This window comes from Homo sapiens, chromosome 13 (assembly GCF_000001405.40).
Source record: "Homo sapiens chromosome 13, GRCh38.p14 Primary Assembly".
In the NCBI taxonomy this organism is placed as follows: Eukaryota; Metazoa; Chordata; class Mammalia; order Primates; family Hominidae; genus Homo; species Homo sapiens.
Window position 1 is genome coordinate 30,297,175 of NC_000013.11, and position 13,727 is coordinate 30,310,901.

General features: G+C 40.0%; 1 protein-coding gene across 5 annotated transcripts in view, besides 2 other annotated features; it reads right to left on the reverse strand.

Moving 5' to 3' along the window:
• The window catches only part of KATNAL1 (katanin catalytic subunit A1 like 1), a 104,922-nt gene extending 94,545 nt beyond the window's left edge, over positions 1 to 10,377 (reverse strand). Inside the window, exon 1 of one of the 5 annotated variants that reach the window (NM_032116.5) lies at positions 10,157 to 10,377. The gene's annotated coding sequence lies outside the window, so the exon portion shown is untranslated. Of the gene's footprint in view, positions 1 to 9,504; positions 9,683 to 9,765; positions 9,838 to 10,156 lie in introns of those variants that run through there. The other 4 variants (NM_001014380.3, XM_024449424.2, XM_005266574.4 and 1 more) reach the window with 4 other exon arrangements.
• Positions 10,012 to 10,121: a silencer, noted in NCBI's record as "silent region_5228". NCBI's record gives its function as "represses an Ori minimal core promoter by ATAC-STARR-seq in GM12878 lymphoblastoid cells {active_cell/tissue: GM12878}" and the evidence as "EXISTENCE:reporter gene assay evidence [ECO:0000049][PMID:35858748]".
• Positions 10,152 to 10,381: a silencer, noted in NCBI's record as "silent region_5229". NCBI's record gives its function as "represses an Ori minimal core promoter by ATAC-STARR-seq in GM12878 lymphoblastoid cells {active_cell/tissue: GM12878}" and the evidence as "EXISTENCE:reporter gene assay evidence [ECO:0000049][PMID:35858748]".

The window sequence follows — 13,727 nt, forward strand, 5'->3', positions numbered from 1 at the left end:
GAGGAGGAAGGAAGAAGGATGAGGAGGAGTAGGAAGAGAGGAAAAAGAGAAGAAGGAGGAAGAAGAAATTGCCACAGCCACCCCAACCTTCAGCAACCACTACCCTGATCTGTCAGCAGCCATCAAGATAAGATCCCCCCACCAATAAAAAGATTAAGACTTGCTGAGGCTCAGATAATTGTTAGCATTTTTTAGCAATACAGTCTTTTTTAACAACAGATGCTGGCAAGGCTGCAGCGAAAAGGGAATACTTATACATTGTTGGTATGGAAAGCAGTTTAGAGATTTCTCAAAGAACTTAAAACGGAACTACCATTTGACCCAGCAGTCCCATTACTGGGTATATACCCAAAAGAAAACCAATCATTCTACCAAAAAGACACATGCACTCGTATCTTCACTGCAGCACTATTCACAATAGCAAAGCCATGGAATCAATCTCGGTATCCATCAACAGTGGATTGGATAAAGAAAACGTGGTACATATATACCATGGAATACTATATGGTCTTAAAAAAGAACAAAATCATGCCCTTTGCAGCAACATGGATGTAGCTGGAGGCCATTATCCTTAACAAATAAATGCAGGAACAGAAAACCAAGTACTACATATTCTTACATATAAGTGGGAGCTAAACATTGGATACTCCTAGACATAAAGATGGCAACAACAGACACTGGAAACTAATAGAGGTGGGAGGGAGGCAGGCAAGAGTTGGAAAACTATCTTTTGGCTACTACACTCACTCTCTGGGTGACGGGATCATTCATATCCCAAACCTCAGCATCATGCAATATACCCATGTAACAAACGTGCAGATGTACCCCCTAAATCTAAAATAAAAGTTAAAAATTTTTAAAGTATTTTTAAATTGAGACATGTACATTTTTTAGACGTAATGTTATTGCACACTTAATAAACTATAGTATAGTGTAAACGTAACTTTTATATGCACTGGGAAACCAGAAAATTTGTGTGACTAGCTTTATCGCAATATTTGCTTTACCAAAATGGTCTGAAACAAAGCCCACAGTATCTCTCAAGTATGCCTGCAGTTTTGTCAGTTCTAGAATGCAAAATAAATAAACTCATATGGTATATACTCTGATTTCCTTCATTTAGAATAATGCTTTTGAGATTCAACTATGCCCTTATATGTATCAGTAATTACTTTTTATTGCTGAGTAGTATCCCATTATATAGACATACTAAAATTTGTTTATTCACTCATCAGTTCTCCATAGCGCACTTCACAGAAACAAATCACAAAAGTACAGGACATATCATTTACCCAGGCTTTACTTTATTTCCACTGAGTTTACATCTAAAATTACAAGATACAAAGAAAGCAATCCACTATGAGGGAGAATTAATACAACATAAAGCAAAATTAAGGCCTTTTTAGCTACTGTAAAATAAGTACATTTAAAGACATAGGGACAAGAAATTTTAAAATAAATAAGCTTATTTGAAAAATAATCAAAAAGAACTTCTGGCATTAAAATATATAGTCACTGAAATAAAAACAAAACTCAGTGGACTGAGGAAGCAAGAGATTAGACACAGATAAAAGGAGAATCAATAAACCAGAAGACAGAGCTGCAGAAACTGACCAGAATGCAGCATATAGAGAATAAGTAAATAAGATTAAGAAATGCAACAGAGTAGAAAGAGAAGATCCATCATGTATGTCTATTATGAATTCCAGGAGAAAAAAGAAAGGCAAAATTCAAAAATACAGTGGCTGAGAATTTTCCAAAACTAACAGAAGACAATAATTTTCAGTTTCAAAGCAAATCAAAGTTCACACCTAGAGACAAGGTAGTAAGACTGAAGAACATTTAAAACAGAAAGAAATGACAAATTATATACAAAGGAAAGAAATTATATTGACAGCTAACTTTTCAAGAGGAACAGTGGGAGCCTGGAGACAATGAAATAATATCTTCCAAGGGGTAAGGGTGTAGGGGGTTGGCAACCTAGAATTGTATACCAAACCATTCAAGTTTATGTTTGATAAAGGCCACATAAAAATTTCAGACAGAAAAGCCTGGATATGAATCCAGGCACCATAAATTTTTAGTTGTGACCTCAGGCAAATCATATAATTTCAATAAGCCTCAATTCTGTCTACAAAATAGGAAAAATAATATTTATCATAAGGTTATTTTAAAAATTAAATGTGATCATATGTTAACATCATTCCTCACATACAACACTGAATCAATATAAGGAATATTTTTACTCTACACTCAACATCAATGCAGATAACTGAAGCAGTTAATTTTTCCTCTGAAAAAAAGAAATCAACTGATTCAATTTTCATTATAAATTTCTAGAAGCTATACTAAAATTATTTTTAGTCATAATCTTGAAACATAGTTTTTTAAATCTCCTTTAATATAAATTAGAAGAATTTCTAGGTCTTTTTAAAATGTCAGGTTAAATCTAAAGACAAAATATTTTAGCAATGTCTAATATTTGACAATGTCTCTTATTTTGAGATTATGTATTCAAAAATAAATTAAGCATCTTCTTACAGTATTTACTGCTGAACTGACCCAGCAAAGTTGCCCTATACAGAATGCTCCAGATAATACCTTCAAGGAGAGTTCTAGGCTCAGACTGAGAAGAGCTCAGTCCAAGTTCATGCTCAGATCAAGAAGGAATACTGCTTTATCTGGTTCCAGATAATTATTTTTGTAACTGTTTCATGACTCAGATCTAAATGTAACACATAAAGCCATCTTTTCAGCTACATCTCCAACCTTTCTGTTCTCTCCTTTAAATCTACCATCACCCACAACACACACACACACACATTCTCTCCCAACATACTTGAATTTTTTATCTCATGCCAAGACTAAGACATATAATTGAAAAAATGAAAAGCTAGCTTGTATCCAGAACCCAATCCCACCAGGGATGTCACTCATAATTCCTTTTACAAATGAAATCATAATATTTATCATTCTTTTGTCTCCACAGTAATGGTTTTTGAAGAGGAAACAAAACATTTTTTAAACTAATTTTATGTGAATGATGTCAATCTAATTCAGTTATACTTACAATACATATGAGGCTAAGAAAATAATTTCTGCTTTAAACTATTTTTATTCTGACACTTCCATATTTTTCTCCTATTGTTCCTTTTCCTCCTAAAAGTTGTAAATTCCTGAAAGTAGATGCCTATTTCAGAAACACCTAAGTAACCTGAACTATAGCAATGTGAACTAAATAACACTAATTAGAACAGTGGTAAGCAAAACAACAAATCAAGTTTTATTTTCAATATTTTGTACCACAATGAATTTTATCAATATGTCCAGGCTTTACATGCTTAATGAAAAAAAAAAAAGTTTCTCCAAATCACCGAAGTCCAGTTTATGTCATACAATGGCTGCTATAAATAAAAGCAATTAAGGAAACACATAACCATGACTTCTCAAATTAATGCATCCTGAAGTATGTTTCAAGCACAATAAATGAACCTACTATGTGAGTACTAATCAACCAAATAGTTAATTTTGAAAACCACAATACCTCCCATCTCTTTATTTTGGGTAATAGTCTCAAGGACTACAGTTTGCCATGAATAATAAAGAAAACAACCACAAACCCAGACATTACAGAAGAATGTATGTAGTAATTAAGGCTTTTCATTTATTTTTTACATGTATACAAATCACTTCTCAAATATTTTAGAAACAAAAAAAAACTGTTCATAAACATAAAAGAATCTAGATACTAATATAGGGTTCTAAGAGCTTAAACGTTTCTCAAAAGTAACCATCACAGTAATTTCTGCTCATGTTCTAAATTCTACTGGCAGCTTTAAAATATTACAAAGGACAGAAAATGTGGATCATCTGTTACTGTGTCTCAAGATGACAGCTTAAACTATAAACTTGGCCAGGCATGGTGGCTCACGCCTGTAATCCCAGCACTTTGGGAGGCCTAGACAGGCGGATCTCCTGAGGTCAGGAGTTCAAGACCAGCCTGGCCAACATGGCAAAACCCCGTCTCTACTAAAAAAGTACAAAAATTAGCGGGGCGTGGTAGCGAGTGCCTGTGGTCCCAGCTACTCAGGAGGCTGAGGCGGCAGAAGCTTGAACCCAGGAGACGGAGGTTGCAGTGAGCCGAGATGGCGCCACTGCACTCCAACCTGGGCGACAAGAGTGAGACTCTGTCTGAAAAAAACAAACAAAAAAAACCCTATAAACTTTATCTAATTGCATAAATACCCTTTTTAGCACAAAAATAATAGTAGCGATGTTTATTGAATGCTAACTCCCCACCAAGTAATACGATAAAAATGTTTTTCTAGGCATTATCTCATCTAATCCTTATAACACTACAAAACAGTAACAGTTACCCACCATTTAGCAGAGGAGGTGACTGAGGCTTTAAAGAATTTAAATAATTTGCCCATAGAGCCTGGATTTGAACCCAGATGTGTCTAACTCAGAGCCTGTCCTCCTGGCTCATTACAATTTACTGCCTCAAATTCCTTTAAAGTTACGCAGCTAATCTAAAAATAAATATAAAAGGCTTATTAACAGAAATAAAGATATTTTGTTGTGGTTGCCTATATAATTAAATACTACTTGTTTTTTAATTTCATAGTGCTTTGAACAGCCTAAAACCTTTCAAAACCATCTGCTTCATATTACTGTATTTTATGAAGTATGTATGTATGTATTTATTTATTTTTGAGGCAAGGTCTCACTCTGTCGCCCAGCCTGGAGTGCAATGGTGCAATCTCAGCTCACTGCAACCTGGACCTCCCAGTCTCAACCAATCCTCCCACCTCAGCCTCCTGAGTAGCTGGGACCACGGGTGTGCGCAGCCACGCCTGGCTAATTTTTGTATTTTTTGCAGAGATGATGTCTCGCCATGTTGCCCAGGCAACTTGTCTCAAACTCCTGGACTCAAGCTTTCTGCCCCTCTCAGCCTCCCAAAGTGCTGGGATAACAAGCAAGAGCCACCACACCCAGACTCAAGTAGTCTTTGAACAAGTAATTTTATAATCATATTTACTTACTCATCCATTCATCATTCAATCTAAACTAATTAGTAAGCACCTACCACATTAAGCAAATAACCTATATACATATAAGAAACAATGTAAGGCCACGTGGAGTTCACTAACATAAAATTCTTGACTTCAAATAATATCTAATAATGCAGAGAAAATACAAGTATAAAAATATCAGGAATTATGTGTTAAATACCAGTCATCCATACTCTCACAGAAGTAGGTCAGAAAAAAAAAACAGTCACTACTGATTCTCTCATTCATTTCTCTTCCTACTGCCAAATCACCAGGAAAAATGGAAAGAGTAAAACATCAGAAAGAAAAGAATACTGACATATAAAGACACTCACAGAGACAGGAATAAACGAGAATAAAGGAACAACTTATTGAAATACAGCAAATGAAGTTATATTGTTTGTCCCTCAAACACGTAAAAGCTAAGAAAATAAGAAATAAAATACATTGTTTTTTGGAGATGATTTCCTTAAAAAACACAAGAGTGAGTATACCAAAACTAGTTTGAGCACTGACTGAAATGTAACATCCTTTGAGAGAGGGGCCAGATCTTATTCATGTATCATGTATCATTTGGTGCACTGTTTGACATAAAGACACACAATAATGTTTCTTGAACTCAAATGCAAGGCACATGTGTTTGATAAATGTCCACAAAATAACCATTCTAAAGAGTTCTATAATACCCTGGGAAGTAAATACAATTGGGGGATCAGCAACTAAGCATTAAATTCTTTACAAAATGCAAAACAATACTGAGATATGATTAAAAACTATAAAAAGTGCTCACTAAAAACAGCTTCATAGCAAAATATTAAAAAGAATAAGATTTCAAACCAAAGCTCACTTTTTAATAGGCTGCCTAATAGGAGCTTTTACAATTACTAATGGACAGAACAAAGTTACAAAAGGACTTAAAAGGTCATTTACTCCTTTGCCATCCGTTCAGTTAGGACCACAATCAAACCATACCCCAGCAAAAGAAACATATCTAAAGACATCCAGTGAAGATTAAACCACCTTGAAAAACTACTCCATTTTTTTTAAACTACTCTCACAATCTATGCCTTGAATTTATCTGGCAAATGCCCATATCTCACTTTTATCAGGTATTCTAGGGCACAATTTCCCTGGGACTACCATATATAAGTATAGTTATCACTGAAGAGAAAAATGTTTAAAATAATGTTGAGCCGGGTGTGGCCACATGCCTGAAATCCCAGCCACTGGGGAGGCTGAGACAGGAAGGCTGCTTGAGCCCAGGAGTTCAAGGCTGCTGTGAGCTATGACTGCACCATTGCATTCCAGCCTAGGTGACAGAGTCAGACCCTGTCTCCAAAAAATAAAAATAAAATGAAATACTCTTGAGCACATTAAAATATAAACATATTTTCATTTACAGATGCTCAAATATCAGTGAAATCACAAATCAGTCCAGACATTAAATACTGTCAGAATTGAAGAATTTTAGAGCCATTGAGCTCTCATATTATCTAGTGGAACTTCCTGTTTCTTTGAAGATGAAAACAAGGCAAAAGTACATTGGTATTAATGCCCTATACAATAACATTTTATAGCATTAACGGAAGCTTCATTTTAAAAAATTGATTAGTCCTCAGACTCTAATCATCACTTTGTAATATAACTACTACCTGATCCACCTGCTTAATATGGTCAAGTAAAGTCTAGAACAGGGCCTTTCTATCAGACAGAACTGGCAGTCCTGCCACACTGTTAGTAAGGAAGTGGGAGAAGAAATGCTTTCAGTTGTTGAGCACTTTAGGGTTTACCTCCACTAAACTGTTTCAACTTCCCAAAATCAAATAAATAGTATTAACACCTCATATGAAATAAGGGTACAGATTTGGAGACCTGCCTATGATCATGCAGAAAATAAGTTGGAGACACAAAATTAGACAACTTACTTTCTTTCCTTATTTTCCCCTCCTTTGTTATGCTCTCTCCCAGTTCTTCTTCCTCTATGCCTCCTAACTAGGGTCTCATTTGTAGGCTCCTCCCGCAAACACATACACACAACTCTTTTTTTTTTTTTTTTTCCTGACACGGAGTCTCGCTCTGTCACCAGGCTGGAGTGCAGCAGCATGATCTTGGCTCACTGCAACCTCTGCCTCCTGGGTTCAAGCTATTCTCCTGCCTCAGCCTCCTGAGTAGCTGGGACTATAGGTGTGCGCCACCATGTCTAGCTAATTTTTATATTTTTAGGAGAAACGAGGTTTCACCATCTTGGCCAGGATGGTCTCGATCTCTTGATCTCCTGATCTGCCCGCCTCAGCCTTCCAAAGTGCTGGGATTACAGGCGCGAGCCACTGCGCCCGGCCTACACACATTTCTTAAATGAGAGTTCCATATCCAAACCTCTTCCTTTTTCTTTTCTACTCATTACTCCAATGTGAGCTGGTCCATTCTCCCTTGTAGCTTTAATTACTTATCTATATGCAAACTTCTAACTCCAGCCTGCTCTCTCTGAACTCCAGACTAAAATGCACCTCCACCTGAATATCCCATAGGAACCTCTAACAAATGCTCAAAACTCAACTAATATCTTTATATTTCACCCCAATAAAAACCAGCTCCTCCTCATCTCAATCAACGGATTCACTATTACCTCAGTCATGCTAGCCAGAAACTGAGGAATCAATCAGCTAAGAGTTCCAAATCTAACTCCCAACATCCAAACTCTTATCAAGTCATATCAATTTTATCTCTTAAATATTCCTTGAATCCATGTCTTTCTGTAACTCCAAATGCTTAATTCAGACTCTCTTCACTTCTCTACTGGACTTTGTTTTTTTCTATTATACAACTGGCTTTTCTACTACCTGTAATGTTTCCCCTCCCAGGTCCATTCTCTACACTGGGGCTGGAGTTATCTTTCTAAAATACAAATCTGACGCCACCACCACTCTAGCTAAAATTCTTCAATGACTGCCCTATATCAAGAAAAATTCTAAACTCTGAATATGGTGCCAAGTACTTTAAGATCTGGCCTCACCCACTAATTGCAAGTATTCTGGGATCCAGTCATTCAGAACTACCTAGCGTTTCCCAAATACAAAATACTGATTCTTCAATCTATCCTTTGCTTATTTTGTGCCATCCATTTGTCCTAGAATGACTTTCCTCATCATCACTCCAGTGAAAGCTTATTCAACTATTTTAACACAAGTTAAAAGTCAAATCACACTGAAGGCCTCCCCTGACTTCCTTAGACAGAGTCAGGATCTTTCTACTAAATGACAGAGAATGGTCAGTGCTTGAGATCAGGACCAGACCCACCTGGGCTGAAATCCCAGGTTCACACGTTACCAGCTATGATTTTGAGCAAGGCCTCTAAAGCCTGTTTCCTCATCTCTAAAAATCAGTAACTACTTCACCAACTGTTTTGAGGATTAAGTAAGGAGTTGCATGCAAAATACTCCTCACAGCACCTGACATATTCAATAAATGTTACTGTTATGTGATTATTTCCTCTGGGCTCCTAGAGCAACTTGCACTTATCTCTACCACACTACTGTGATGACAAGACTGCCCATGCAGGATACAGACTATCTTTTTTCATCTCTTTATTCTCACCACCTGGCATAATGCCTGGCACATAGGTTCCTAACACATTTTGAATGAATAAATAAAATACTTCAAACCTTATGTTGTATCACATAAGGCCTCAATTTTGTTTTCTACCTGTCTTACTAAACCTACTTTCCATCTCCTCCTTGTACAAAATTGCAACCTCAAGTAAAATTTACACAGGTCAACTTCATTTTAATTAAGAGAAAGTTTTATAGGATTTGTGGTCTTTTTGTTTTTAAACACACACACACACAAACTCACAATAATATCAACAATTCTCCAACTTACTCCATAAAGCAGCAAATTTCTAGGATGGTTATCTACCTATTAAAAAATTTTAAAGGGTCGTCAAGGAAGGTTTCGTAAATCTGTGTCAGCTTCCTTTACCAGCAAGTCTTTGAGTCAACTCTAAGGACTCAAGTGTACTCCTGAACATAAAAAATATATAAAGAATTAACTAAATAATTAAAACATGGTATTTTTCCTTCCGAAAACATGCTGAGAAATTCTGAATAACACTGGAATAATCAAAGAATTATTGCTGCCTACTGCTAAAAAAGTCTGTTTTTAAAAGTTACTAGTAATTTAAAGCTGAACTAATCAAAATATGTGTAGGCAGTGTTCAGGCTGGCAAGGGGGGGGTGGGGTGGAGCACTCATTTCACAACCTTGAACCTCAAGAAATAAAATTCAAAAATGCAAAAAGTTAAAAATGCCAGATACCACCATATAATCGCAATGACATCTTTTTATCTATTTCCACACTTAACCTTTAAACATTACTGCCCTTTGAGTAATTACCAATTGATGGGTTTAATATGCAAACACCTCTGAGCTACTTTAAAACAAACATGACTAACCCAGAAATAAACGTATCCAGGAAAGGAGAAAAACCTGTTAAAACACGGTTTCTCAGGTCTCACATCCAATGTGTGACATACATACGGTTCTGCACCGAAAGGCAGCAACCTGCGAGGGTCAGAGGCGCCGAAGACCCGAGGCCCTGCAGCTTGGGCGGCTGCTCATCCCTGAGACTGTGCAGGGCGGTGGCCCAGCCGGGGTGGGGCTGAGCGCTGCAACTGGGGCGGGCCCAGCTACAGGGCGGGAAGCCCGAGGCTCACCTCCACTTCCCTTTCCCAACGCACAGAGCCCAGGTCCGCGACCACTCAACAGCCCCCTCAAGACAAAGAGAGATTTTTTTTTCTGTCCCGGTCCGCTCAAAGTTTATCGGTCTTTCCCGGCGGTCGGGGCCGCCGGGCTTTGTAGTTCGCCAGTCCGAGCTACCCCACCAAGACCGCGAGCCCGAGGAGTCGCTGAACTACAATTCCCATGATGCACCGCGAGCCTGGCGCTCCCGCGCCCCTCCCCGTCCCCGCACGGGAGCCAGCGCCCGAGGAACCCCGCAGCCCACTGCCCTGGCGTCTCCGGCAGTGGGAGGCCGAGAGGGGCTGTTGGCTAGAGCCCTCCACCACCTGCTGTCTCGCCCTCGCCCCTTTCTCTCGGATTCATTACCCAGAAGGCGCAGGTCCGGGCACATTCAGCGATGCGGTCCAGATGGGGTGCGGGTGGGGCGCAGGCCGCCGCCGCCGCCGCCGCCGAGTCCGTTAGCTCGCGACGTGCGTGAAAAGGCGGCGGCGGCGTAGTGTTGCCATGGCAGCCGCGGCCGCGCGGTGGGCGCAGCGCGGGAGGGAGCGCGGGGGCTGTGAGTCCGCTCTGGGGCGGAGCTTGGGACTCCCGCCCAGGTTGCCGGGGGGAGGGAGGTGCAGCGGCGCGGGGTGGGAGAGCAGGGAGACAGTGACATTGAGGAGGACGTGTGGCCGACTGAGCTCTGGTCGTGCTTGATGAGCCTGCCTCCACTGCGTCCAGCCCCCGTGGCAGGGCACCTTCGTGCCTGCTGCTTTCGGAGGTGATGCCAGTGGCGTCGAAGGAGGGGGCACCCGGGGCGTCGCAGCGCCTTTCCCGCCGCCTGTCCAGGCGTCCGCCGCTGGGTCTGCCCCCAAGGGATGTGTGGATCCTACGCCACCTCTGTGTTTTTCTCCAGTCAAACCGAATTGAAGTCTTTCGCACCCCCTTTCTCCATTCTCTGGGGAGGGGGATAGAAGGGAATCCTTCGATAAGATGGAATGCATATGGCCTTTAGGATTATTCAGGAGGTTTTAGAATTTGCAAATGGCATTGCTTTCGACTGAATTTGGATTTATGCTGTTTCTTGGCAATCGTTTGTGGACTCTAGGATAAACAGGTTAAGAGCGTGGGCTTCTAAAACGAATTCTTAGTTCACGTCCTGCCCCTGTGCTTGGTAGCTGATGACCAGAGGCGCCTTTCTCACCTCTTAACGTTTTGATCTGCAAAAATGGAGATATCCATCTTGCAACTCTTGTAAGAAATACACGCATTAATACTGATGAAGCTCTATAAAACAAAGCTTAGCATTTAACAATAGCTATTAAATATTAATTATTTAATCAATAGTGATAAAAGTCAGAATAGTGGTTGGCTGTCGGGGAGGAGTTTGAGAGAATTTTTTGTAGTGATGAAAAAATTCTATAGCTAAGAGTTTCGGTTACAGAAGTATATGCACTTGTCAAAACTCTTGGAATGGGACATTTAAGATTTGTACATTTCACTGCATGTAAATTTACCTCAAAAGAGAACATAAAAATGTGTTGTTATTATTATTAGAGCTATAGACTCTAATGGAAACTACAGAGATATTCTAGGCCCAATCTCTAGATTTTATAGATGGGAAAACTGAGGCCCAGAAATTTAATAGAAAAAAAGAGGAAGGGGAGTGAATTCGTGACCTTGTCATTTTCTAGTAATGAATATCTCCTGAAAAATTATGGTTGAAAATAACAAAAATGGCTCCTGTAATCCAGCTGAGTCATCCTACCACAGAGATTTTCTTGAACTTGACTGAGTCCCTTATCCACCTTGTGGTGTTCCCCACGGCCAATGTCCTCTCAAGGATTGCACCGTCACTTCTGGCTCTCAGTTCTTGCTTTTCCTGAACACTTAGACCTCTCCACATATCACCTCTTACAACTCTCCTCTCTCTACTCCTGCTGACACATAATTTCGAAATCAGCCCCTTTTCTTTGGTTGTTTCTATAGCCAACTCTTTAGAAGGTTTGGAGCAGATAAGTGGTTTTAAATTAAGGATGCAAAAAACCTAAAATTAGAAATCCCTGCTCTTAAAAGTCCTTCAGTTCCTCCCATGATATTTTTATCCACCTACCACCTACCCCCATTTTTTCATCATAACCTGTAACCTCCCACTATTGTACCATCTTTCTGGTCCCATCTCTCCCCTCCTCTCCTCTCTTTATACAATACTTTTATTTCCATCTCCTAATCTGTGCCTTCATAGCTACCTGCCATTCCTAAACTGTTTACCAAAGTTTTTTCCTACACAAAGTAACTTCCCAAGAGGAACTCTGGAGCCAGCTATTAAAATAATATTTTTTCACATATGTATCCTCATATTCTATTTGATTCAGTCCACAGTGTAGCTGCTCAATAAATATTAAGCAGCTTACGTACATGACCTGTTGATATAGTTTGGCTGTGTCCCCACCCACCTCTCACTTTATTGTAATAATTCCCACCTGTCAAGGGCAGGGCCAGGTGGGGATAATTGAATCATGGGCGCGGTTTCACCCGTACTGTTCTTATGGTAGTGAATAAGTCTCATGAGATCTGATGGCTTTATAAATGGGAGTTCCCCTACACAAGCTCTTTTGCCTGCCACTGTGTAAGAAGCCCCTTTGCTCTTCCTTCATCTTCCGCCATGATTGTGAGGCCTCCCCAGCCATGTGGAACTGAGTCCATTAAAACTCTTTCCTTTATAAATTACCCTGTCTTGGTTATGTCTTTATTAGCAGCATGAAAACGGACTAATACACCTGTCCTGGCTACCTTCACAGTGGGTTCACTTATGAAACCCATTTTCTTACATCCATAATAATGGTTTACTCTAGTATAAATGAGGAAGCTATGTGATAATAGCTGGAATCTGCTGTCTAAGAGGAAGAAAAGAAACCAAAGTAACCATAGCTTGTACAGAAGAAATGACAGCACTTAAGAGATGAAGTCCGGAACAAAGTCTGGTATGAAGCCATAGGACATCCTTATAGGAACTTGGACCTGTCACCTGCAGCAATTTGGTCACAACTCTGCATATGTAATGAGCATGTAAATAAATTCTCCTTTACTCCTGGAGAAGATGTTACTGATCTGCTACCAGCTGAACACATGTTTGTAGTAGGGATGATAGGTTCACCGGATCCATCTCTCCCTGATCTGGTTTCCCTTGTGACCGATCACTTGTCTTTCTTTGCAAGGCAGCTGGCCAAGGTTGTAGTGCAGCCTACAGCCATGACGAAGTCTCCAAAGACAAGGTCCCAATGCATAACGCTCCTTGTTTTGTGAAGCCAGGATCCCAGAAAATCAGCTCAGCAGGACAGGCCACTTGAGAATGGATGACAGCAGCACAAACAAAAGCTGTCACAAAAGTGAGTTGGAGGTGGGCAGTCGCGGGAGGGAAGACCACAAGCCACTGAAGCACAGCCTTAAAATGCCTCGCATGGCTATGGACAGGTAGGAACGAATAAGGACCGATAGTAAACCATAGTTTATTGTTTTCACCAGATACTTTGGACCTGTTCAAGTGATAGTTAAACACCCTATACAAATCCAAAAGATGGAGCTGAAAGTAGTAGCACATTAATCCACACAGGCAGTGTGGTCAAGAGCCACCACCCTCATTTACAGCGCATCTGGTTTACAGTTGAGGTCTTTCCTCAGTTCTTAGAGTTCTTGGCCTCTCTGGCATTTGACTTTGCTGACTACCCTCCTTGGTGGGTCCTTGACCTTGGATCTCTTCAGAGCTTTCCAACCAGACTTCATTATGTTATTCACCAGCTCTTTTACCTGCTTCTTAAATGTGAGGATAGTTGCCAAGGTTCAGTCACTACACCTTTTCCATTTGCAAGCTTCCGCCTTGGCCGTGGGTGATGCTCCAATTTCTCTTGCTAGTTCTGATCCACAAGTTCCAGCACTGCACAAGCAGGCCCACTCTTCC